Below are 24,376 nucleotides of genomic sequence, written 5' to 3'. Positions count from 1 at the left end.
TATCTACCCAAAGGAAAAAAAGTCAATATATCAAAGGGATGCCTGCATTCGCATGTTTATTGTGGCACTATTCACAAAAGCAAAGATATGAAATCAACCTCAGTGTCCATCAAGGGATGAATGGATAAATAAAATGTAGTATATATACACAAAGGAATACTCTTCAGTCAAAAAGAATGAAATCATGTCAGTTGCAGCAACATGGATGGAGCTGGAAGTCATTATCTTAAGTGAAATACACCAGGCACACAAAGGCAAATATCCCATGTTCTCACTTATATTCAGGAGCTAAATAATTTAAACACATGGAGGTAGAGAGTGAAAAGAGAGAGACTGGGAGGGTGAATGTGGAGAGGGAGGAGGATGAAGAGAAGTGGATTAAAGGGTATAAACACATAGTAAGATAGAAGGAATAAATTCAATGTTAGATAGTGGAGTAGGATGACTATACTTAGCAAAAATGTACTGCACTCGGGTGACAGACACCCTAACCCTGACCTGATCACATGCATTATATACATGTAACAGAATTTCTCATGTACCCCATACATTTGTACAAATAAAAAAAATCAAATTCACTGACTCATTCACATACATACATTCCCATATCTACACTTTCCTTATGGCCCTATCGTTCAGCAGCATGTAATTTTAAAAACATTTCAACAGATTTTTGCTTACTACAGCTATATATCATTTGGTGCTTTGAAGGGATAAAGGAGGATAAGGGATAGGGGAATATGGTTAAAAGGATGCTCACCCCCCAAAAAGAGAGAGGAAGAGTCATGGCAAAGTGGCTGAAAATGTAATCTGCCTGCTAAATGTGGTTTAACCTTAGCCCTTTCCCCTGCCAAGTCACATGACTGGCTACCCTGCTCCTTAGAGCCCAAGATTACTGGATTTTCATGAAATACTGGTCCAGGAGGAAGCTGCAGAGCTTCCTTAAGGATGCCTGAGTTGCGTTCAGTAAATCTGTACAAAATGCTGAAGAACTTGTGTGGGCGTCCCTTTGCTTGTTGGCACTGAAGAGCAATTTAGGATGAGCCCTCGATTTCAAAGGGAGGGAAAAACAGCAGCTCTGCAGGCACTGTGCTCCATGACTCCACTTTCCATGGCCCTCTGGACTGAGGCCTCTCTCTGCCTGCTACCATTCTGGCTTCTGACAGGCTGCCCTGGGCATGGGAAGAGAGAGAGCAGGACTAGTGAGGAGGCCCAACCACAGCAAGTAGTACCAGACACCCCCTGTGATCTGGGGGGAAGGTTTCCCCAGGGTCTCCACCAGCTACACCCTCCATCTGAGAAGATCTCCTTCAAGTGAGCAGACAGCATCGCGAGGGGGCACATGGAACAGGAATGGAAGAAGAGGATGCCTGTCCAGACAGCCACAGTGGCTGAACCACCGAAGGCTGTCATCCCGGGGCCCCGCCCAAGCCTGTGGCTTGGCACAGTGATGGGGGTAGAGCAATCACTTCCCTGACTGTTGCTACCAAAGACACAAGATTATGGCAAAAGGCAAAAACACAATTCAAGACCTATCTAAAACTCTGTTCTGAAAGAATCCCATGTGAATGAGAAAAGCAGGAGGCAGTTTTCAGCTCACTCACCCGGAATAGAGAGGCAGGGGGTAGGGGCACTTCTCTCGGAAGGACAGGTATTTCAATGGAAGCCACTCATAAATATTAAACCAGAACATCTGGACTCAGCCCTCCTGATGCAGAAATGGGGCCTATGGCCCTAATGACCCATGTGCCACATAAACCTGAAGATGCCCAATACCTAAAGGGCCTTAGAAACACATTCCCGGCAGAAAATTGAACTGAGGAGGAGCATTTTTCCAAGACCCATAAAGATCTGATGTGCAGATCTCTAAAATTACTCATTTGGCGGGAACCAAACTTCTAACATGACCCTATAGCTTTTAAAGCTAACATCTGAAATGGATACAATTCATTCAGATGCTCTCATCCACAGCCACAGCTTACCTCTGTCTACACAGGGAGGAGGAGTGGATGTTTTGAGACTAAACCTACATGACTGAGAACAATCTGCACAAATGCCATAATTAGGCAAAGGTGCCACAACATCTAACACCTTGTTCTAAGTGCTGTGAAAATTGTAACAACATCTCACTCACTTATATACAAAAATCAACATCAATCACTGCCCAAAAGGAACACTCCAAGGTGTAACTCAACCTAGAAGGTCGGGCTGGGTGTGTGTTCTGTGTTCTTTACCTCTCGACAATGCTGGCAGGCTAGGCACAGAGGGCAGCTGAACCAAGTCAAGTAGCGTCCGCTGGTTCCCTTCCCCCAGTGGCCACAGGGAATGGCTACTGTAAGGGGTCTGGAGAGGTGGGTGGAGCAGGAGCTGGAGGGCAGAGGGAAGGAGCCCACCTTACATCCTGCCTGAGGTGAGGCCTCTACCCTTGGCTGAGGCCCTTGGACCCTACAGGCCAGCATTTCCCTCCAATCCCTAAGAATTGGGCAGGTGTTGAACTGCCCTTTTACACAGAATTTCCTGAGGGAGACAAAGAAGGTGATGCTGAAAGTCACAAAAGTTGAGCCCCTGACATTTTGATTCAATCGGTGCCAGACAGAAATGTTAAATATTGGCTTTATCTTGAAGTAAAAAGAATTATTTCAAGTTGGCAAAACTGGACAGCTCTGGATACTTTTGGACTATAATAAATTAAACATTTGCTTTCTTGCAGATCCCTCACTTGGAAGCTCCCTCAAGTGGCTGTTTTATTAAAGCCACAGCCCAGGGAGGGCTGCAGCTCCAGCTGCTCAGGTGTTTTTACCTCATTTGCAAATGTTTTACACTTCTTGCTCATTTAAATTTTAAATTGTCAAAAGTTGAAGGAGGACCTAAAAATACTGATGAGCCTTGGGGATGTGGTACTGTAACACACTCTGCCTCTGCTGGTGTGCAGCCCGAGGTGGCAGCACGCTGCTGTCTGCGCAGAGGCACCTGCTCACCACCCCCTAGCCTGTGCTGGGCGCAGCACAGTGATGGGGCCCAGGCAGGTAGATCTGGTTCTTTGGTAAATCAGAGACTATTCCTGTGGATGCACATGAGCTCCAGCAGACAGAAGCTATCCAAGACCTCCCAAAGCATCCTGAGTTGACCCTCCAAATCTCAACTCATTAATCTCAAGTGGTACATCAACTCATGAACCACTTGGCATCTAAAGTGTCTATTTCAAAAATAAATGACAAATATCCCCGACCCATCTTCCTTAAATGATCAAGCAACCTTATTAAAAAAAAAATATATATATATATTATATATTATATATATATATATATATATATATATTATATATATATATCACATTTTTCTAGCAAGGTAATAATTGTTTAAAGCTTAGGACAGCTCACTGACCTCATAGCTCATATGTAAGTACACGTTGGGAACAGCAGGTGGTTACAAGGAAGCTTGTTGTAAAGCATTAGCCATTTATACTCCCACCAGCAGCAATCCCTGGATTATACCACATCCGGTGACCCAATGCCCAAGGCAGAATTTGTAGCACAGAAATGTATTATATTAAAGGATCTAAATGCATTTTATTTCATCAGGCCAGGGTACAGGCAAAGCAGCTGCAGGTGTTTTGGGAATGGAAGGCATCTGCTTTGCATTCTCCTCCATCCCTGGCTTTGCATGGTAGGGGGAAAATCATTAGACTCCAATAAACAGAACTGGATCCCAGCTTGCTGAGTTGGCTGACATAGTGCTCTGCTGGGCTGAGAAGAGAACCACTGGATGGACAGAAGTCAGCTGCCCAGGGCACTGGAACCAAAGCCACAGTGAATCAACAAGCTGGGCATCAGTCTGTCTGCTTTTCAAAGAGAAGGAAAACTTGCAATTTAGAAAAGCCCACACTCCTCCTCAACAATTTCATAAGAAACACTAAATCATATCGAGACAGCTTTAAAAGAGAAGCAATCATCTGCTTTCCCCCAAATAAATTAAAATATCAGTTACATGCCAGCTAAATGTTAGAACCAAAAGCAGTATGATAGAGGCAAAGATACAAAAGCCTTGTGCAAAGAACTCATAAGGCAGCTGTGTGCAGTCAGCGGTGATTGAGAGCCCTCCCTTGGCATGTGCCGTCACATCGCTCTCAGAGAGCCGTCAGCAGTGCAGGCAAGAAAACTGTGCCACAGTCCAGCTAACGAAGCTCCCCATGCAGTTTGTACACATGCCATTTTAAAAGTATAAAAAAATTCACCACTGTTGATGTCCTTTATTATTGTTTCTCCAGACAGCCCCATTCTTGCAAAAGCTCTAATTACCTCTTTCCTCTCCTCTGTGGAGAATGTCGGCTTCGTCCCAGTAATGTCTCCTTCTATCACCCAGCTCAAGCAGCCCTCACTTTACCTGACAGCCAGAGAACAAACCTTCCATCGCTTACTCTTTTGCCTCCATATAGGAAAACCTATTTTTGCAACCCAGCGGGTAGGGTAAGGTTAGGAGGCCCACACCATGAAAGATATTGTGACTTATGAGAACTCTCCTCCAAGCAAGCCCTTCAATGCCCAGCCCACAAGGAGACGGGGGCTGGCTGCAGGCTCATATGCTAGGCTGTTTTATCTGGAGATGAACATATATTTAAAAACTAAGAGAAAATGGCTCAAGGCAGTTTTTGCCACAAGAATAATGAAATGACTTGCTCTTTCAAACATCATTTCATTTCAGTAGCTGAAAGCAGATGGCATTAACCACTTGGTACCTGGGGCAGTCTTTAGGGTCCAAAAACCCCTAAGGAGGCACCTGCACTGCTGGCGGGCCCCTCCACCTCCTCCAGCCTCTACACGGCTCTCAGGGGAAGAGTGCTGTGCTGGTACGAAACTTCTGTTTTGGGAACGACCTTATCCTCCTTTCAGTAGGCTCCTGATTTGTTTGGCTTTCTCTTTCAGCATTTCCCAATCCTTTAAAAGATTATCTTCTCAAACAGAGCAGTCTCCTACAAAACCAGCTCCAAAGTTAAAGTAGAGATGACAAAAGGGGAGGCACGCATTCCATCCAGGAGCTGCTGAAGACACAGCCTGGGCCCATGGGGGTAACTCAGTTGCCAGGCTCCTGACACATGGCTCACCAGGGAGCTGTGGCCTGTTTAGCCTCCCTGAAGGCACCTTTGCAGGCAAGAGTCAGTTCATCCAAGTCACAGAATGTCCGAGTGGCAACGTGGTCAGGGGGCATCAGACTATAAATGCCACACATCTCTCTCCAGAGAAACACCTGGAAAAGAAAGGAACATTTTCCCCATCTTTCCCAACTGACCTTTCAATCAACACACTGGGATCACAGGGAGTATGAAGATGAGAAACTGGGGTAGGGAGAGACCTGTAACTTAGTTTCAACCCTGCTTCCACAGCAAGTCCCTTAACAGCTGAACTACACATTCTCTTTCAGGATAATACAGCATGGAGTGTGAGCTTTAGACCCAAGTACTGAATTCAGGTTCCTGCTGCCCTGTTTTGACAGTTATGTGGCTCAGGCCATTTAACCTTGAAGAACCTCCGCTGTGTCTGCTCTAAGATGGGGCTGTTACGGGCATAAATGAAAACCGTGCCTGTGAAGCACCCGGCATGTGCTCAAGGAAGGCTGGTTGGTCCTGGGATGATTCTTCGGGGTGGGGTCATCCCTTTTGCCATTTTGCCCTACACGGTGCAGCTGACATGCTTGGCATTATGACTCTGACCCCCTTCCCCCATCATGTCTGTTCCTTCCTCCTCCATTCACACAACATTTTTTCTGCCCCACTTGCTTTTACCTCCCCATCTAGATTCTGGTTCCATTCTCCTTTGAGAAGTCACTGCCGACAAAAGAGAACGAATGTGGAAATCTTCCTCTGAACATATGATGTACAAGTTTCCTCTCTCCCCCTCCACAAGCCTGTCTTTACAGACTATAAATGCATGCTAAGTGACAAGCTAAGTAAAAATTTCTGAAGATATGCAAATTTCAGAGAAATCTGAATTAAATATACAAAGACTATATAGTGCAGCCTGGAAAGTACTCAGTGGTTAGGGACACCATGAAAGGGACACGGAAACTTTCCAAGGACATCAGAGAGGAGCTCCTCTACAGGTACAGCTGAGTATTCTGCAAGCCTCTGTCACAAACAGAGGCAGAGCATGTGTTGCCAAGTTTGGTCACGTACTGATTGTTTGTTGAAAAGCCTCATGTCTATTTCCCCAAGACTGTCAGGCTGGGAGCTGTAGTGAAAGGAAGAGCAGGAGAAAGGAATGGGCTGTAGACATTCTGCAAACAATCTATGTTTTCACCCAAACTGTGCCAGCATCACATGCACTTGTTTTATGTGCTTGTTTTAAGAATGAAGTTTCTCTAAGGGCTTCTTGTTTTCACCACGATAACTCAAAAAGGTCATTCCGAGGAGCTTAGAAGTACAAGCATGCTTTTGCCCCGTTTCCACAAAATCTGAACTGCAAGGTCAGAAGTCCTACAATGTCTGCTGTCCACTGTTATAAGACTGTGTGGTGTGGGTGGGGGTGGGGGCGGGCAGAGAAGCTGGCTTCTTGATTCTCCATGTTTAAAGTTAGTTTATTTAAAAACACCTGCCCTGAAGGGGAAGAGGCTTATTCAGTATAGAAAAATATTTTCTGCAGACATGAGTTCAAATCTGAAGTCAGACTACACACTATAGTGAAAGCCCTACTGAATGGATAGCCCACTAAAGGACTCTACAAATCTCCTGTGTGGAAGGTATTAATAACCACATAGCCCAGTTCCATTTCACTTGGGGGTGTAGGAGAGGGGGCTCAGATATGATGACTTCACCTAATGGTTACAATTTGGGTATAAAAAAACACCCCATGAACAGCTGGGCATGGTGGCTCATGTCTGTAAGCCCAGCATTTTGTGGGGCTGAGGCAGGAGGATCACTTGCAACCAGGAGGTCAAGGCTGCAGTGAGCCATTATTGAGCCACTGCACTCTAGCCTGGGCAAAAGACCAAGACCCTGTCTCAAAACAAAACAAAACACCCTACGAATGGAGCCTGAAAATCACTAAATCTAATGACCCTTTTCAATTATCACTTAGAACCTCTAGAAAGCTGACTACTCCTGTGGGCTCTGTGACATCTGCTTACCTTGTTTTCCTTCTCTTTCTCTGATAGCTCTTCATCTGCTATCCTTGAAATATTAGCATTATTCAGTGCTGGACCTTCTTTTTGTCTTAATCCTACACTCTTCACACTCTTCTTCAAGGTTAAAATTCTAACTATGTATGCTAACAATTCTGAAATTTATCTCTCTGCCCCAGACCTCTCTTTGGAGCTCCATATCTGTGTATTCAATTATCTACTTGGCATCTCAGGTATTTCAGACTTGAGATGTCTAACATAGGACACTTGCTACTTCCTCACAAATCTGCTTCTTCTTCAATGTCTCCCATTCTAAGAGAATAGGGCCACCATGCAGCCAGTGGCTCATGACACAAACCTGGAGTCATCACTGATACCTTACTTACTCTTCACATTCAATTACCGAGTCTTGTGGATACGATTTCCAAAAATCAAATCCATTCACTTCTTGCCATCTCTACTGCCACCACCTAGTCAAAGCCGCCAGAATCTTTTTTTCCAGGGCTACTGCAATAGCCTCCTTTAGGTGGTCGCCCCATATCAAATCCACCTTCCTCAGAGCAGCCAGCGTCATAAGCCACCACCTAGTCAAAGAGACCAGTAACTTTTTTCCGAGGCTACTGCAACAGCTTCCTTTAGGTGGTCGCCCCACATCAAAGCCACCTTCCTCAGGGCAGCCAACATGATGAGATGATGAGATCCAGCCCTGTCTGTGATTACCGTGCTCCACTGATTACAATAAAAATTTCCCCACTGAAGCACGATCTCAACCCTGGCTGCCGCTTCCCCTTGTGCCATTTACTCCCTTGCATTCTATGTCCCAGACACACTGACTTCCAAAGGAAATTCTTGCTTACTCAGGCCTTAGCTTCAATGACTTCCTCAGGAAGATCTTCCTGGACCCTCAGACTAGGTTAGGGCCCAGTTGGATGCTTTCAAGGCATCTTGAACTTTTCCTTCAATCACTAGTCACAATTTTAATTTAGCGTCATTTGTGGAATTTGTTCATTTAATTTGTCTCCTTGGCTAGATTTCATAAAATCAAGCACCATGCTTCTGTAATTTATCACATATCCTCTATCCCTAAAATACTGCTTGGTTCACTCAAAATATTTTGGTCAGGTAAATGAATGATAGGTTAGGTATAGAAAGACTGTGTTCTCTGAACCCTAGGGAGCAAGCAAAGGCCAATCAGGTATTCAAGGGGCGAAATCCAATATCCTCACCTCAACCTCTACAGCATTTGTCCACTTTTCTGTTTCTTAAAATACTTTTATTTTTCATCTTCTGTGATGTCACACTCCTTTCTTCCCACCTGACCAACTGCTGCTCCTTGGAATCCTTCATGGTTTCTCCTCTAAAATCACCCAGCATCACGTCCTCCTGCATTTTCTCCTTTAGGTAATTTCATCCAGATCCAAATAGGGTATCCATGCTGATGCCTCTTGAACTTATATTTCCATCTATGAATTCCCCTCAAATCCAAATCCCGATATCCAATGGCCTACTTGACAAACACGTCTGACTAGAATAATGCTAGGAATCTCAACTGTACCATGTTTGAAACAACTCTTCATCTTCTTGACCTCTGTTAGTTTATCTCCTCATCTTCTCTGCCTCAGTGTGAGTGGCAATATATCCACCCAGCTGCTGTTCAAGTCAAACTGTGGGCTCAATTCTTGATTCCTCTCTTTTCCTTACTCCTCACACTGACTTTATTAGAGGTCTAGTTAGATCTAAATGATGTCCTGAATCGGCTCTGCACCTCTTCTCATGCAAATGTCCTGTGGCAGGAATAAGCTCAGCATACTGATGGAAGAGAAAGGCAGCCAGCAGGGCTGGAATGCGGTGAGGCCGATGGCTCCACCAGGCTGCTAGAGCTCAGGCGTGTTGCCTGCTTCTGCCTTTGCTGCCCTCCAAGCCGTCCCCCTCCCAGCAGTTGGAGGGAACTTCTGGATTTAAAAAAAAAAAATTGACCTGAGATGTACTTGTTTTGTATTTGTTCATTCTTACTTTGCCTATTTAAAGGTAGTACATGAATATAATAAAAATTCAAATTGTATAAAATGATATTTAGCAGAAAGTAAGTCTCCCATCTCATTCTGTTACCCTCTCCAGAAGCCCAGCAACCACCACCACTGTCTATTTTTATGTATTCTTGAGAGTCCATGCATCTGTGCATACACAAGCATGTGTTTCTCTCCCAGAGAAATATATTTTTCTTTTTTTTTTCTTTCTTTAATAGAGACAAGGTCTCACTATGTTGCCCAGGTTGGTCTCCAACTCCTGAGCTCAACTGATACTCCCACCTCCGCGTCCCCAGTGCTAAGATTACAGCTGTGAGTTACCGTGCCTGGCTCTCCAGGGGAATATTTTTAAAATTTAAGTCAGATCACTCCTTTGCTTAAAACCATTCAATGCCTTCTCACTATGTTTACAATAATCAGATTCTTTGCAAAGACATGCAAGCCCCCGACTGATCCCTGCTGCGTCTCCACTCTCCTCCCGCAACGCACTGTGCTCTGGCCGGGCTGGCCAGCTTTCTCTTCCTCAGATACACCAAGTTTGTTCCTCCCTCCAGGGCCTTTGTTCTGTCTAGGGCACTGCTCTCCCAACTCTCTGAATGGCTGGCTCTCCCAGCTTTTATGTTCAGCTCAGCTTTCATGTCCTCCCAGGTGCTGGCCTCCCCCTTCCCTATTTGCAGCTCCCCCTTTCCCTTATCACACTGTCATTTTATTACATCATATCTCCTGCTCCCATCAGAAATTACCTTGTTTATCTGTTCCCTTGCTTACTGCATCTCTCCCCTAAAGAATAAAAGCACCAAGAGGTCAGGGACTTTTGTCAGTTTTACCCCTTGCTCTTCCTCTACAACTCAATAAAGATGAACAGAATGAATAAATAAATAGAGTCAGCATTTGACTCATTAAAAATAGAAACATATTGCTTCTAGCAACAAGATAGAAAAACAGAAAAATATTACTTCTAGCAATATTTAATGCTAGTAACTGTGCCCCTCCCCCTCACAGGAGAACACCATCACCACACAGTTCATCCAGTTACCTGGGTGAACACAAGTGCACTGGGCACAACTGAAAAACTACTGCTGTCTGGCTTGTGGTGTATCCTGTTTTTTGCAGTAGCACGTTTACTTTCCTAACAGTGCCTTTCTATTGCCGTTATTCATAGGAGCCTACACTTGCTGAGCTCACTCTTAGAGGTAACCCAGAAATGTCCAAGATAGCACTGGATACTCTCCTGGAACTGAAGCTTTGCTGTTGCTCATAATTACAAACAAGCGGAGTACAGACAACACAGAATTGAATGTAACCACACAATTCCCACTGACATCCATTTCCTATTCCACCCTGGTATTTTGGTCAGTTACTCCAGATTCCATGGAAAATTAATCCTGGATTTGAGGGAAGAGCAATTTAATTGATGCAAGAGTATTAACATAAACCTAGCCCTTTAGTTTGTAAATCTGGAACCCCCACTTCCTGGGTGAATCTAGAACATATGGTGCAGAGCTCAGGGAAACAAATGTCATCCTGTGCATTCATCACAAGGATGCACAAACTACACGGTGCGCTGACTCACAGCTGCCATGGTCCAAGAAAGAACAGCACTGGGTGTGTGGAGAACAGTGGCCTGCTGTGCACAGCACGTGTCCTGATGACCCTTACAGTCCTCAAGGCACAGACAGGTGGCTGCCAGCCTGTCTCCTGGACCCACAGGACCCATCTTCACCTGTGGTAGCCACTGCCTGCCACCTCCCACCCTGTGGCCTAGAGCAAAAGCAAGTATTTAATACTAACAAAGAAATCTAGTATCGGCATGGAACACACTCATCCCTAGCTCCCTTGCCGTCCCAAAGTACTTTTCTGGAGGAGCCATCAGAGTAAATGAAGCAGGCCTGCCTTGGATCATGCAAAGATCTGTCTTCTATGGAAGACAGCAGTCAGGCAGTACTCCCCACGGGCCAGAGTCATCTGTCTTCCGGTCACCCACCCAGGCACTGTACATTTTAGCATGTGCACCAGTTGGTGTGGCCTGTGATCACGAACAAGGAAGTATCCAAAGCTACATGGGACATTCCCTGTAATCTTCCTTGGACTGTGTCACAGGCACTGTACTGGGGTATAGCAATACACTAGACAGTACAGGTGGCTCTGCCTCTCATTTCCACAGGCAACAACAGAGAAAGGGAACATCCTTCACATCTCAGGAGGAAATAAGCGGTGGCATCCTCAGGCACTGGCAGCTGTGTCCAAACACCTCTCTCAGGTCAATGCCAGTGGACTTCCCACACCCACCATCACACCTCCATTTTTGCCCCGCCTCCATTTCCAGACATTTCTAGTCCTTCTCTACTGTGTCTCTTTTCTCTCCAACACATGGATTTCTTTTTACTTGTGACCATTTTTGTTTCTCAAAAAAGGAAAAGGAAAAGGAAATCCACAGCTATGACTGCCTTAATACCTGCTCCACAGAGAAGGGAGCCTTCTGGACTGCAGGCTCAAGGGCAGGCCAAACTTGGTGATGCTAGTAAGTGTCCACACCAAGCAGCTCTTACGTGTGTACCTCTCATCTGTCTACACAGCTCACCGGAAACGTGTTTTTTTTGTTTGTTTTTTTTTTAATTGAGATGGAGTCTTGCTCTGTTGCCCAGGCTGGAATGCAGTGGCGCGATCTCGGCTCACTGCAACCTCCAACTCCCAGATTCCAGCGATTCTCCTGCCTCAGCCTCCTGAGTAGCTGGGATTACAGGCGCACGCCACCACACCTGGCTAATTTTTGTATTTTTAGTAGAGACAGGGTTTCACCATATTGGTCAGGTTTGTCTCGAACTCCTGACCTCAGGTGATCCACCCGCCTTGGCCTCCCAAAGTGCTGGGATTACAGGCGTGAGCCACCACGGCCGGCCTCACGTGTTCATTTCTTAACTGAGCTCTGTCTAACCCTGAATTATGGATGGGGATGCCTGCACAAAACACGGAGATGTAGAAAGGTGAGAAATTTCTTAGAGAAGCCAGTTAATCCAATTATTTTAGGCACTTCTCCAATGAACTATAGGGCTAACACATCCACCTTTTTCAGTTTTTTTGCCTCTGAACTTTGCTGTAGTATTTCATGGTCAGTCTCAACTATCCAGATCTGAAGTGTGCTAGCCCCTTTTCCCAACAGTTAAGAGTGTCACCTCTCAGCGCTTATTCCCAACTTATCCAGGGCTTGTTCCTTTTGAGTCTCTGGGAATGTATCACCTGTCACGCCCCTCATGGGTCCTGTCCCAGTAACCTTAGCTCACTAAGCAACACGACTTCGAGAGACTGAACAGTTCTAGTGCCCCCTGACATCAGGCACTAGGTGAAAGCCAACAACCCATGAAAGCTCCATTCACAGGGATCTGGTTATTGGCAGATATACTGACCTCTAAGGCAGTCTTCTCCATGTCTCCCTTCCAAAAGATGGCAATGCTCTCCAAATGCAAATGCTCTTTTTGTAACACTGACTACAGTATCCACCAACATTAGAGTTTATGCTGGCACAGAATCTTATTCAGGCTCGTGGCTGGCAACAAGACAGCAAAATGTGAAGTGGTGAGGCTTTTCTTAGTCTGCGTCTCCAGGCCCCAGCAGCTGAGGAGTAAGGGCTGTCATGTGGTCTTATCAGGACTTTGGTCTGCTTAGGTAAAAAGCACTTTCCAGAAGCAGAAACAAACTTCATTGATACTGATCTTCTCAGAGTAAAGGTGCTATAGAAATCTCATCTAATAAATAAAGGATTCAGGCTCCAGTGTTAGGCTGTCAGTCCAGCAAGGGAAAGAAGCTATCAAGCTCAAGGAGTCAAAAGTATTTATTGGTCACCTGTGCACTGTTTACAGAGCTCTATTCTAGGGGCTGAGTGGAGGAGAAGGAAAAAAAAGAAGTCACTAGTTCCTGCCTTTTAAGATAGCTGGAGACACATGCAGAGAAAAATAGCTGAAGGTCACAAAGAGCAAAGCAAGAAATCAACTGCAAATAAAATCAATATAATTCACCGATGTGTAATAAATCGGGAGCACCAAGGGGAAGTCAACTGCAATAAGGGATCTTGGAGGAGGTAACTTTTCAAGGAATATGAGGATATGAATTAGCACTCAGGAGAACGGAATGTGCATGTCAACAGAATTAAATGCCACTGTGTCTCATATTACCCAGGTACAGCGGGAGACCAAAAGGTGACCATGCTGTGGACCCGGTTTTCCAGAAGCATCTTATCTAGATGTGGCATTCGGGACACAACAAAACACAGTGCACTGGATGACTCATTACCCCATCTTAAGTGGTTCTCACAGTCAGGTACATACATTTTTACCATTCAATAAAAAGCATCTCTGAAACGGGGAAGTGGTTAAGGAATGGACTAAATTCTGTATGGTTGAAAATATGGACAGTTACTGCTGTAGTCCTCTCCTCACTGTTTTGGGGACCCCATGGGCCAGCTTGGGGATATGAAAAAGTGGTGGGGTTCTGGGAGCTCAACAGACCTGGGCTCAAATCCCAGGTGCTACCTTCATATTTCTAAGCTTCAAAGTTTCAGTTTCAACTTTATAAAAAAGGAGGTACCATTTGTCCAATGATGCTCTTTTTTTTTTTTTGAGACAGAGTCTTGCTCTGTCACCCAGGCTGGAGTGCAGTGGCGTGATCTCGGCTCACTGCAAGCTCTGCCTCCCGGGTTCACGCCATTCTCCTGCCTCAGCCTCCCGAGTAGCTGGGACTACAGGCGCCCGCCACCACGCCCGGCTAATTTTTTTGTATTTTTAGTAGAGACAGGGTTTCACCATGTTAGCCAGGACGGTCTTGATCTCTTGACCTCATGATCCGCCCGCCTCGGCCTCCCAAAGTGCTGGGATTACAAGCGTGAGCCACCGCGCCCGGCCTTGTCCAACAATGCTCTTAAGAGTCAAATGATATAACTCAAGTACAGGTACCCAGGATATACTAGCTGTTCAATAAAGCTATTCCTCTTTTTCCTTCACCCAGATGATCACAACTGCAAGACGCAGGGATCTCACAGTGTATTCAAGTGTCTATTAATGTGTCACCGCACGCCAGGCACTGCAGTAAGAGCCGAGAACTGCAGAAGAATATCGTTAAGTGCTCATGGTCTGGAGAAAGGACAGACATGTAAACAGACAATTTCAATATGCTCTGAGACATATATCATAAACAGAGGCCAACCATGGACTCCACAGAAGAGAAGACTGTTGAGCTGTCTCAGGGGAGATCACCAGATGAAGGGTTTTGTTAAAAAAGACACCAGGTTTTGTGAGGGCCTCACTGAGAAAAACTGTGGAGACAAACACTGAGTCCAGTCCTGTTTCTGACCCTGTCCTTCATGCTCCAATATCAGTTCTGTGGTCTCTGAGAATGAATTTGTTACTGCGGGAGCTGGGCTGCTGGAAAGCTTACATCACAGTGCTCAAATCTGTGAACAGGCTTGAAGAAGAGGATTTGTGACAGACTGCTCCGGAGGGCAGAGTGAGGGGGAATGAGTATGTGTTCTAGAGGGAGGCCAGTTTAAGCTGGGTAGAGGAAGCACCTAGTCAATCTAAGTTGCCCAGCAACAGGAGATGCCATACATCCTCCATGCAGGAGATGCCACACTCCCTCCATGCAGATGTACACAGTGGGACTACCTGCCAGGAAACTGCTGATGGGGTTTATGCAGCGTCAGTTTAGGGGTCTGGACTGGCACCAGATGGATGGCTTCTAAGATACCTTAATTACTTGGATTATATGTCAAGGAATCGCAAGTTTGTTAGGCAGGAATCAGAGACTAGTGCGGTTACACACAGTAGGTCTGTGACCTCCGAAGAACCCATGTATTTTGTTTTCTATGAGACAGGGTCTCACTCTGTTACCCTGGCTGGAGTGCAGGGACATGATCACAGCTCAATGCAGCCTCAAATTCCTAGGCTCAAGCAATTCCTCTCCCTCAGCCTCTGAGTAGTTAGGACTATGGCATATGCCACCACACTAGGCTTATTTTATTTTTTTGTAGAGACGGGTTTTTGCTACATTGTCCAGGCTGGTCTTGAACTCCTGGCTTCAAGCGATCCTCCCACCTTGGCTCTCAAAGTGTTGGGATTACAGGTGTGAGCCACCGCACCCAGCCCACAGAACCCATCTTATTCATGTCCAAGTACTAATACAAACACAGGTTTTATTTGTGCAAGTACACCCTTCCCCAAAGTTGAGTTATTTAATTAAACTCATAAGCATACCAAATAATTTTAATTCAAGCAAGCAAGGACACTACCCTATCTGACAGCATATATGTCTAGTCTGAATTATTTTCTTCCTCTACCAATAAAAATTGGTGGGGGGGAAACACTCTATCTGGATCTTTTTCGTTCAGCCAAATAATCCACTGGGAAATCCTGAGGCTGCACATGTACCCTGGACCTCAAGAATTTACATGGCTACTGGCCCAGAAATATTCCCACTCAGCTGTGGTTGGGCCTGCTTTCAAACACTGTTCCAAAAGGGCTTTCCCCTAATCATAAGCAGCAGGCTCATGAGGACACCACATTTCTTGGACTTTCCATTTTTTCTTGTACATTATTAGTCACCACTGACTGGGCAGCCACTACAGGCCACATACTCCAATAGGGGCTGTGGGAAGTTACAGAGCATCATGTACTCCTGCCTGCTGAGATTTTTTGAGTCTGGCAAGGAAGGGGACAACAGTGGGAGGAAGGTATGTGTTACACACCCAAAAGGTATAAATCTCTAAGTGAGAGAGAATGGAAGTGACTGGAACCAATATGAAACCTCATTGATGTGGGTACTACTCATTTGCAATTTCCAGTAATTCTCTTTGTTTCTAAATTATCTTGGTGTTTCCTATGAACAAATGAGTCTATAAAATGTACAGGCAGTATGGTCTAACTTGGGGGTACATTAAAATTACTTAAAGAACTGCGTTTTTACCTTCTAAAGAAGGACTCTAAAGCGCTGGGCTGAGGCCCACACTTCTTAGAAGTACTCCTTAAGAGGGGAATCACAAACCCAGAAGAAGAAAAGAACCAATATCAGAGTAAAACTAAATGAAACAAAAAAATCACAAAAGATAAATGAAACAAAAAGCTGTTTTTTTTGAAAAGATAAATAAAATTCATAGGCCATTAACAAGATTAACTAAGAAGAGAGAAAATCCAAATAAGCTAAATAAGAAATGAAACGGAAGAGATTACAACTGACAACACAGAAATACAGAGGATCAATCAAGGCTACTATGAACACCATTATGCACATAAACTAGAAAAACCTAGACGAGATGGATAAATTCCTGGAAAGATACAACCCTCCTAGCTTACATCAGGAAGAATTAGATACCCTGAACAGACCAATAACAAGCAGTAAGACTGAAATGCTAATTAAAAATATATCAACAAAAAAAGTCCAAGACCAGACGGATTCACAGCAGAATTCTACCAGACATTCAAAGAAGAGTTGGTACTAATCCTATTGACACTATTCCACAAGATAAAGAGGAAACCCTCCCCAAATCATTCTATGAAGCCAGTATCACCCTAATACCAAAACCAGGAAAGAACATAACCAAAAAAGAAAACTACAGACCAATATCCCTGATGAACATATATGCTAAAATCCTTAACAAAATACTAGCTAACCAAATCCAACAACATATCAAAAAGATAATCCACCATGATCAAATGGGTTTCATACCAAGGATGCAGGGATGGTTTAACATACTCAAGTCAATAAATGGGATATACCACACAAACATAATTGAAAACAAAAATCACATGATCATCTCAGTAGATGCAGAAAAAGCATTCAACAAAATCCAGCATCACTTTATGATTAAAACTCTTACCAAAATCAGCATACAAGGAATATACCTCAATATAATAAAAGCCATCTATGACAAGCCTGCAGCCAACAAAATACTGAATGGGGAAAAGTTGAAAGCATTCCCTCTGAGAACTGGAACTAGACAAGGATGCCCACTGTCACCACTCCTCTTCAACATAGTACTGGAAGTCCTAGCCAGAGCAATCAGACAAGAGAAAGAAATAAAGGGCATCCAAATCATTAAGGAGGAAGTCAAACTCACTGTTTGCTGATGGATGATATGATCGTTCACCTAGAAAACTCTAAAGACTCCTCTAGAAAGCTCCTAGAACTGATTAAATAAATCGGCAAGTTTCTGGATACAAAATTAATGTACACAAATCAGTAGCTCTCAAATAAAGAACTCAACCCCTTTTACAATAGGTGCAAAAACAAAACAAACAAAAAAAACCATCAAAATGAAAACTTAGGAATATACCTAACCAAGGAGATGAAAGACCTCTACAAGGAAAACTACAAACATTGCGGAAAGAAATCATAGACAACATAAACAAATGGAAACACATCCCATGCTCATGGATGGGTAGAATCAATATTGTGAAAATGACCATACTGCCAAAAGCAATCTACAAATTCAGTGCAATTCTCATCAAAGTACCACCAACATTCTTCACAGAACTAGAAAAAACAATCCTAAAATTCACATGGAAAAAAAAAAAAGCCCACATATCCAAAGCAAGTCTAAATAAAAAGAACAAATCTGGAGGCATCACATTATCTGACTTCAAACTAAACTATAAGGCCGTAGTCACCAAAACGGCATAGTAATGGCATAACAAAAGGCACACAGACGAACGGAAAACAACAGAGAACCTACAAATAAACCCGAATACTTAGAGTCAACTGACCTCTGACAAAACAAAAACATAAAGTGGTGAAAGGACACCCTTTTCAACAAACGGTGCTAGGATAATTGGCTAGCCACATGTAGGAGAATGAAACTGGATCCCCATCTCTCACCTTATACAAAAATCAACTCAAGATGGGTTAAAGACTTAAATCTAAGACCTAAAACTAAAAATTCTAAAAGATAACATTGGAAAAACCCTTCTAGACATTGGCTTAGGCAAGGATTTCATGACCAATAACCCAAAAGCAAATGCAATAAAACCAAAAATAAACTGCTGGGACTTAATTAAACTAAAGAGCTTTTGCACAGCAAAAGGAACAGTCACCATAGTAAACAGACAACCCACAGAGTGGGAGAAAATCTTTACAATCTATACATCTGACAAAGGACTAATATCCAGAATCTACAATGAACTCAAACAAATCAACAAGAAAAAAATCCCATCAAAAAGTGGGCTAAGAACATGAATAGAAAATTCTCAAAAGAAGATATACAAATGGCAAACAAACATATGAAAAAATGCTCAACATCATTAATGATTAGGGAAGGGCAAATCAAAACCACAATGCAATACTACCTTACTCCTGCAAGAATGATCATAATCAAAAAATCAAAACATAATAGATGTTGCTGTGCATGCAGTAAACAGGGAATACTTTTACACTGCTGGTGGTACAACTACTATGGAAAACAGTGTGGAGGTTCCTTAAAAAACTAAAAGTAAAACTACCATTGATCCGGCAATCCCACTACTGGGTATCTACCCAGAGGAAAAGAAGTCATTATACAAAAAAGATACTTGCACATGGATGTTTATGGTAGCACAATTTGCAATTGCAAAAACGTAGAACCAACCCAAATGCCCATCAATCAATGAGTGCATAAAGAAACTGTGGTGTATATATATACATATATACATGATGGAGTAATACTCAGCCATAAATGGAATGAATTAATGGCATTTGCAGCAACCTGGATGACACTGGAGACTATTATTCTAAGTGAAGTAACTCAGGAATGGAAAAACAAACATTGTATGTTCTCACTCCTAAGAGGGAGCTAAGCTATGAGGATGCAAAGGGATAGGAATGACACAACGACTTTGGAGACTCAGGGGGAAAGGGTGGGAAGGGGGTGAGGGATAAAACACTACAAATAAGATGCAGTGTATACTTCTTGGGTGATGGGTGCACCAGAATCTCACAAATTACCACTAAAGAATTTAATCATGTAAACAAACAACATCTGTTCCCCAATAGCCTATGGAAATAAAAATTTTAAAAGAGGGGAATCACAGGAAGAATCTATTAGGGTGACTAAGAGTACCTAGTAGCAGGTATTTGCATACAATGTGCTTAACATAAATTAGTTTTAACTACACATTAAAGGCTTTGGAAAGGACATAACTTTAGTAAAACTTTGTAATTTATTATTGATCTGAAAGAAAACATTTTTAAAAATCCGATTATTTTGACTAAATACTAACTACTATGCGTGTGCGTGTGTTTGCCATAACTGGCCTTATTTGGTGGTTCTGCTGCAAAGGCTCCACACAGGGTCCCAAGTCCTGGGCAAGGTTTTAGAGGCTGAACTAACAAGAAGAAGTTAAGAGAGTCTGGTGAATTTGGAAGAAAGACCAAGAAATGTGGGTACTTCAGAAGAGATAGTCTGGGTTCAATAGAGACTACAGGGCAGGAAGAAGTGACAGGGAGGTACAGTGAGTGTGGCTGAAACCTAAGCTGAAGGAAGGGAGGAGCAGGCACTGCCATGAGGGGTCCCTGGACAGAAACTCTTCAGCAGGCCTTGAAGTTTAGTTCAGGGGCTACATGGAATACCACTATTTAGCACACAGGTGTGATCTGAGGTGAGGGACTACCTTTTCGATCTTGGTTTTCTCATTTATTTAAAAAAAAAAAAAAGAGATGAGACTAAATGATTACTAAGGCTCCTTCTAATTCTGGTGGTACGTGATTCTATTATCTACACACAAATTTTCATGCCTTTAATTCAAACAAAGCATTTCTAAACATCTCTCACTGTGGCTTGCTTTCATCACCTCAAGTGAGTATAGCCCAGGACAGCTATCTGGGTGTCTCTTATGATACTGGTTTAAAAATAAGAGGGCTAAGCTCAGGTTGCAGGCTTTCACCACTCTAGCTAGACACACGCGTGACATATGACTATCAACACAGGGAATATGCTTCATCTGCAAACAGAAATGAGTCTATGGGATGGCAAAACTCTTTAGAACACAGCTTTGTTGACCAGTTACAGGCTACGTGGTAGCCTACCATGGGTTAAATAATCATCTGTTTTTGGTGAACATATTTGAACATTTCCCATGTTTTCCTAGAATGTATTAATCAACTACAACCTGTGGGGGGCAGCTATGAAAAATCTATAGCTGAATCATACTTAGTGATGAAATGCAATGTTTTCTACCTAAGATCAAGGAAAAGGCAAGGATGACTCCACTTCTATTCAACATTATGCTGGAGGTGCAATAAGGCAAGAAAAAGAAATAAAAGGCATATAGATTGGAAAGGAGTAAAACTGTATTTGCAGATGACATGATCATGGATGTAGAAAATCCTAAGGAATCGAGAGCTAACAAGTTAAATTTAGCAAAGCTGCAGTATTCAAAAAGTGATATAAAATGATATATTTCTAAGTGGTAGCAAAAAAAAAAACAATCTAAAAATAAAACTTTTAAATTCCACTCACAATATCATCACAAACTAAAATATTTAGGAATAAATTTAACAAGCTATGCATTGAAAATATAAAATGTGGCTGAGAAACACCTAAATAGAGAGACATATCATATTGATGAGTTACAATATTAAGATGGCAATTTTGTGAATCTTTTTGTAAACATGGTTAAAATTTTAAAGTGTGAACAGACTCTTCATAAAAGAAGATATATGAGTGACCAAAGAACATATAAAAAATATGTTCAACATCATTGGTCATTAGGGAAATACAAATTAATATACCATAATGAGATACTACTACACAGCCACTAGAATACCTAAAGTTAAAAAGACTGACAATATTAAATGTTGGCGAGAACAGGAAGAAACTGGAACCCTAATGCATTGCTAATGGGAATATAAAATGATATAAGCTTGGAAAAGATCTTGGAAGTTTCTTACAATGTTAAGGACACACTTACCATTTAACCTGGCAACTCCATGCCTATGTATATACCCAAGAGAAATTAAAACACATGTCCACACAAGACTTCTGCATAAATGCAGCTCTATTCATAATGGCCCCAAACTGGCAATAACCCAAGTGTATGTCGACTGGCAAATGGATAAACACATGTGGTATATCCATACAATGAAATAATACTCAGCATTAAAGAGGAATGAACTACTGATATATAATATGGATGAATTTCAAAAACAACATACTATGTAGGTATGAATCCACTGATATTAAAATTGTAGAAAAGGTGAAACTATAGCAACAGAAAGCAGACTTTAAGTGGTTGGCTGGGGCTAGGGTGGGAGAGAATATGGATCGACTGAAAAGGGGCATGAGGGAACTTTTTGGGATGATGGAAGTATTGTACAACTGAATTTGGTGATGGCTGTACAACTTACACAAATCTACTAAAACTCATTCAACTTCTGAATAAAGATTTTAAAAAGAAATGAATAATGTAATAAGAACTAAAAAATCAGGGTCTGAAACAAGATTAAAGAAATAAAAAAGTAATAAAACTCATTCAACCATAAAATGGGCAAATTTTATGGTACGTAAATTATTTCTCAAAAAGCTGTTTTAAAAACTTTATTAAACAAAGAATTAACTAAAACTATTTACTACTGGAACTAAAATAAAAGACACTAATAATTCACTTCCTTTTATAATAATTTTTCTCCCCATAAAAAAAGGTATTCTAAGCAGGATAACCTATCCAAATACCTTTTGGTAACACTATTATTGTGCTGTTACTGCCACTAATATTAGACTATACAAGTAGCTGCAAGTATGCTAAAAAGATGGAAATTTATCTCATGCCATGGGATAAGGGTCTTCTGCCATACCTGTCAGTATGGGATGGGTGGGGATGTGACACAGGCTGCAGCGGATGTGCCCTGCACATTCGGTCTTGTAAGAAGAGCTCAGTCTTTGATACTCCTTTGCTTAGGGAGAGGGAGCTCTTCATGTTTCTGACATCTCTCTACAGCCCTGTCAAAGAACATAGGGTAGGCTGGGTCTCTGGGACAGTCCTGCACTAATGGGCTAAATACATGGAGTTCGTGTTCAGTAAAAGGTTTCATTTGTTTTGCTCTAACATCTCAAGTTGCAATTTACAGAGGAGCAGCAGAGGGACTAATCTATCTGGTTTTAGACTGGAACACTTACACATCAAAGATTAAATGGGGAATACAGATAGCATACTTATGTTTAGGTAAAAAGTACAGTGAGAGTGAAGGGAGGAGTATAGCAAAGGAAGAAAATTTTCTCAGAATTTGCCTCAAGATTTCTAGTTACCCTTAGCTCTCACATATATAATAACTCCCATCAAAAGGTTGTGGAACTTTTTTTCCTTTTGGGGGGATGGATGGGACACTTTCTTCTCTTGAGTCACAGGTAACATACATCCCAATTGTTGCTGTCTTAGGAGTACTGGAGAAGCTTTAGTCTTTCATCACCCAGACTCAGCATATAAACAGGAGTTCCTAAAGGCCGGGGTCTTTTGCTTAACCATGCTCTTGAGAGGTGACAGCGTGCTGGCAGCCCTCGCAGCCCTCGCTCACTCTTGGCGCCTCCTCGGCCTCAGCGTCCGCTCTGGCCATGCTCAGGGAGCCCTTCAGCCCGCCACTGCGCTGTGGGGGCCCCTCTCTGGGCTGGTTGAGGCCAGAGCCAGCTCCCTCAGCTTGCAGGGAGGTGTGGAGGGAAAGGTGCGGGCAGGAACCTGGGCTGCGCGCGGCGCTTATGGGCCAGCTAGAGTTCCAGATGGGCATGGGCTTGGCGGGCCCCACACTCGGAGCGGCCCGGGGCAGTGAGGGGCTTAGCACCCAGGCCAGTAGCTGCAGAGGGTGCACCAGATCCCCCAGCAGTGCGGCCCACCGGCACTGCGCTCGATTTCTCACCGGGCTTTAGCTGCCTCCCGGCAGGGCAGGGCTCAGGACCTGCAGCCCGCCATGCCTGAGCCTCCCCGCCTGGCCCCCCGCTGTGGGCTCCTGCGCAGCCCCGAGCCTCCCCTAGGAGCGCCGCCCCCTGCTCCATGGCGCCCGGTCCCATCAACTGCCCAAGGGCTGAGGATTGCGGGCGCATGGCGCGGGACTGGCAGGCAGCTCCACCTGCGGCTCCAGTGCGGTATCCACTGGGTGAAGCCAGCTGGGCTCCTGAGTCTAGTGGGGACTTGGAGAACCTTTATGTCTAGCTAAGGGATTGCAAATACACCAGTCAGCACTCTGTGTCTAGTTCAAGGTTTGTAAATACACCAATCAGCACTCTGTATCTAGCTAATCTAGTGGGGATGTGGAGAGCTTTTGTGTCTAGCTCAGGGATTGTAAACGCACCAATCAGCAGCCTGTCAAAACAACTGGCGCTCTGTAAAATGGACCCATCAGCAGGATGTGGGTGGGGGCCAGATAAGAGAATAAAAGCAGGCTGCCTGTGTCAGTAGTGGCAACCTACTCGCGTCCCCTTCCACACTGTGGAAGCTTTGTTCTTTCGCTCTTTGCAATAAATCTTGCTGCTGCTCACTCTTTGGGTCTGCACTGCCTTTATAACCTGTAACACTCACCGCGAAGGTCTGCAGCTTCACTCCTGAAGCCAGCGAGACCAAGAACCCACCAGAAGGAAGAAACTCCGAACATCAGAAGGAACAAACTCCGGACACATCACCTTTAAGAACCGTAACACTCACCGCAAGGGTCCGCAGCTTCATTCTTGAAGTCAGTGAGACCAAGAACCCACCAATTCCGGACACATTTTGGTGACCCAGATGGATACACTCTCTCCCTATAACTCATAGTAGAGCATGGACTCTCCACACAATGGCAATAATGATAACATTTCACCAGTCAAATCAGTTTTGGTCATAATAAAAGATCTCAGGTGTTTCTCTGCATAACAGGGTTTTCTGGTGGATCTAGGCTAGAACACTGTGAACAGAATAAGGCTTTTTATAAGAACATACTGCCTCACTTTCCTTTACAGACATAAGACAGAATGCCAAATGTTCCTGACAGGTTTACACTTGAATAAGAATTAAAATTAAGGCACAGACACGTGGGCTGATTTCTGATGCTGGTGAAATGGATCAGCCTGGTAATGCATGTCCCCAACATGTGTCCTAATCACTGCAGCTCCTTGCCCCACTCTAGACCTTACGGATATCACTGTTTGTTCATTGTGTAGCCCCCTGCAATGGCAGCAACAGTTGTGACACATGCATATTCCTTTTGACTCAATCAGTTCACATTCTCTCTAGATCATTCCCTTGAAAAGATTCAACAAC

General features: G+C 43.5%; 1 protein-coding gene and 1 long non-coding RNA gene across 5 annotated transcripts in view, besides 1 other annotated feature; both read right to left on the bottom strand.

Moving 5' to 3' along the window:
* ZFAND3 (zinc finger AN1-type containing 3) overlaps nt 1–24,376 on the bottom strand; it is a 334,898-nt gene that overhangs the window by 7,122 nt on the left and 303,400 nt on the right. The gene's annotated exons all lie outside the window — the stretch shown is intronic.
* On the bottom strand, nt 40–24,376 carry LOC124901314 (uncharacterized). The gene is made up of 2 exons (XR_007059570.1): nt 9,884–24,376; nt 40–9,065 (listed from the first exon to the last, which is right to left on the bottom strand). It is a non-coding gene; the product is annotated as an uncharacterized LOC124901314 (long non-coding RNA).
* Nucleotides 8,492–9,336: an enhancer, noted in NCBI's record as "OCT4-NANOG-H3K27ac-H3K4me1 hESC enhancer chr6:38105943-38106787 (GRCh37/hg19 assembly coordinates)". NCBI's record gives its function as "activates a minimal SCP1, AML or CMV promoter by ChIP-STARR-seq in primed H9 embryonic stem cells {active_cell/tissue: H9 hESC(primed)}" and the evidence as "EXISTENCE:reporter gene assay evidence [ECO:0000049][PMID:30033119]".

This window comes from Homo sapiens, chromosome 6 (genome assembly GCF_000001405.40).
Source record: "Homo sapiens chromosome 6, GRCh38.p14 Primary Assembly".
NCBI lineage: Eukaryota > Metazoa > Chordata > Mammalia > Primates > Hominidae > Homo > Homo sapiens.
Note: the sequence above shows the minus strand (reverse complement) of the source record. Positions and strands in the feature narration are given on the sequence as shown.